This window comes from Homo sapiens, chromosome 5 (genome assembly GCF_000001405.40).
Source record: "Homo sapiens chromosome 5, GRCh38.p14 Primary Assembly".
In the NCBI taxonomy this organism is placed as follows: domain Eukaryota; kingdom Metazoa; phylum Chordata; class Mammalia; order Primates; family Hominidae; genus Homo; species Homo sapiens.
Window position 1 is genome coordinate 57,326,059 of NC_000005.10, and position 3,083 is coordinate 57,329,141.

At 43.5% G+C, this 3,083-nt stretch overlaps 1 annotated feature.

The window, feature by feature from the left end:
• Window positions 1,473-2,672: an enhancer, noted in NCBI's record as "BRD4-independent group 4 enhancer chr5:56623358-56624557 (GRCh37/hg19 assembly coordinates)". NCBI's record gives its function as "activates an origin of replication core promoter dependent on BRD2, P300/CBP, MED14 and CDK7 cofactors, and independent of BRD4, by STARR-seq in HCT116 cells {active_cell/tissue: HCT116}" and the evidence as "EXISTENCE:reporter gene assay evidence [ECO:0000049][PMID:35650434]".

The window sequence follows — 3,083 nt, forward strand, 5'->3', positions numbered from 1 at the left end:
AATTCCTATACTTCTTTTTCCACTTGAAGATGATGAAGAGAGACTTGTCTGAATTGCAATAAGAGGAAATAGGTTAGAATTCCCAGCTGCAAGCAGAAATAAATCTTGGTAAGAGCTTCAAGAGGGTTAATGAAGTTCTTTCTGGAGTATCTATGGCAACAGAAAGGCTAAACATGGCCCTGTGTACTATGTAGAAGAATAGGGTAGATCTTTTTTTTTGAGGCAGAGTTTCGCTCTTGTTGCCCAGGCTGGAGTGCAATGGTGCAATCTTGGCTCACTGCAACCTCCGCCTCCCAGGTTCAAGTGATTTTCCTGCCTCAGCCTCCCAAGTAGCTGGGATTACAGGCATGCACCACCATGCCCAGCTAATTTTTTGTATTTTGAGTAGAGATGGTGTTTCACCATGTTGCCCAGGCTGGTCTTGAACTCCTGACCTCAGGTGATCCACCCGCCTCAGGCTCCCAAAGTGCTGGGATTACAGGCATGAACACCGTGCCTGGCCAGATCTTTAAAATCTGCTCCTTACCCCTTTCCTGCGTGCCTTTTCATTTACTACTTTGTGGGAGACACAGCCACCTAGAATTATACTAAATCTCCCGGAATGATGGAACTCTTTCTTTTGGTCAAGATGCTCAGTCTTTTTGAGGACACAAGCATCACGCAGCTGATGTTGCCTGAATTGTGTTATGGTATAAAAAGGATACATATCAGTTAGGGATTGGTTTAGCTGAGAATGAAGGCAAACCCCAAATAAAATGGCATAAACAAAATAGAAATTGAAGAAGTTCAGAGGAAAGTATCCTGTTCATGACATTGTCAGGAGCCACTCTTTCACCTTGTGGCTTCTCTACCTCATGGTCCAAGGTGGTTGCTTGAGCTCCAGCCATCATGTCTACATTCTAGCAAGGAGGAAAGAAAGGTATATTTCATTTTTTTTTTTTTTGAGACAGGGCCTTGCTCTGTTACCCAGGCTGGAGTGCCGTGCCATAATCACGACTCACTGCAGTCTTGACCTCTCCTGGGCTCAGGTGACCTCCCACCTCAGCCTCCTGAGTAGCTGGGACTACAGGCATGTGCCACCATGCCTGGCTAATTTTCGTATTTTTAGTAGCGATGGGTTTCGACATGTTGCCTAGGCTGGTCTTGAACTCCTGAGCTCAAGCAATCTGCCTGTTTTGGCCACCTAAAGTGCTGGGATTATAGGTGTGAGCCACCACGCCCAGCCATATTCTATTCTTACAAGGACACTTCCTAGAAGTTGCAAGAAGCACCTTTGCTTTTATAGTGTTGGCTAAAACTTACACATAGATATCCTACTTTCAGGGAAGACTAGTAATGTGGTCTCTATTTTGGACATTAAGCACTAGTGAAATACAAGGGATTCTATTATGAAGAAAGCAGAGGAGTTTGGTTAGAAGGGGACAACTTGCAGTCTCTACCATGAGGGTAAAACGGGCATCTAAGAGGTTTAAAGACAAGGCTTGTCACCCTGACCATGAAAACATTACTTTCCTTTCTAACTGTTCATTGTTAGCTTCTCGTTTGAAAGCAGGCACCAAAGGGAATCACTCTACACTCACCTTGGTTTTTCTCTCAGTTTTAACTCGATTTTGAAATCCTGACAGTAGGAACATCTTGGCAGAGCCTGAAAGTGTTCACTAGACTCTTGGAGGCAGCCTAGGTTCCCAGGAGAAGAGCACTGCTTTCAAACTCTAATGGAAAAATGCACTGTGAGGCAGGAGGTCTGGGCTAGGGCCTGAAATTCTACATTTCTAACAAGGTCCCTAGTGATGCAGTGCTGCACTGCACAGACCAGGTTTTCAGTGCAAAGATTTAGAGAAAGTTCTCTATGGCTATCTGAGTCCCAGTTTGTAGCAGGATATTCAGGAAGGGATAGTGTAATTGCCCAATGAGTTCTTCTTGCCTGCTGTACAGATAGAGCCTATTCACTGAGACAGTGCTATTGCAGTGGAGAAAGAGCTTAATAAATGCAGACCTAGCCAAACCAGAAGGATGGGAGTCTATTACTCAGAACAGCTTCCCTAAAAGGTCAGAGGCTAGGGTTTTTCAAAGATAGTTTGGCAGGAAGAGGGAGAGGGAATGGAAAATGCTGATTGGTTGGGGATGAAATCATAGAGGTGTGGAAAATGGTCCTCTTGCACTGAGTCAGCTTCTGGGTGGAGGCCTCAGGACCGGTTGAGTCATGAGTCACCAGTCCAGGTAGAGTCAGCTGGTCACCAGAATGCAAAGGTCTGAAAAAAAAAATCAAAAGACCCATCTTAGGTAATACTCTAGTGATGTTATCTATAGGGGCAATTAGGGAAGTTACAAATATTGTGACTTCTTGCAATGGCTGGTTATTGTTTCACTATGCCCACTTTTAGCAGAGTTCAGGCCATCTTGTGGCCTTCCTTTAGTTTTACACAGGCAGTTTCTGTTCCCAAAAAGAAGGGGATAGTTTTGGGAACAGCTATTGTCATCCTTGCTTTAAGGTAAACCATAAACTAAATTCCTTCCAAAGTTAGCTTGGCCTATGCGCAGGAATGAATAAGGACAGCCCAGAGATTAGAAGCAAGATGGAGTCAGCTATGTCAGATTTCTCTTACTATCATAATTTTGCAAAGGTGGTTTCAGTGGGGGTGGTAGTGACCAGTATATCTGTCAGTGGTTTTCATATACTACTGCTCATAAGAATGCCCTTTTGGAGCTTGGTAAAATACAGACTTCTAGGATCCTGACAATCACTTTAAATGTAACAGGTATACAGTATACAGGTATACAGTAACAGATGTCTGATTTTTATAGCAGGCACTCTGAGTAATTTCTGATAAAGGTGGTCAAGGAGCAGCATTTTGAGAAATATTGGTACCCTGTGCCTAGGCAGTCTGTGTGGGTGAGGGTCTCGACCTCTCAGATCGTAAATTTACAGAGATCCTGGTGTTCTGGGATATGTGAGTTTTAGATAGTCTGGTTTAATTAATTAAAGGAGACACATATTGCTAATCTTTGTGGCTCAGGAAAATTTTATCAAAGGTACATTTTCCTCCATTTTGGAGTTAAGGGTTTTGTTCTTGCAGGAAGTT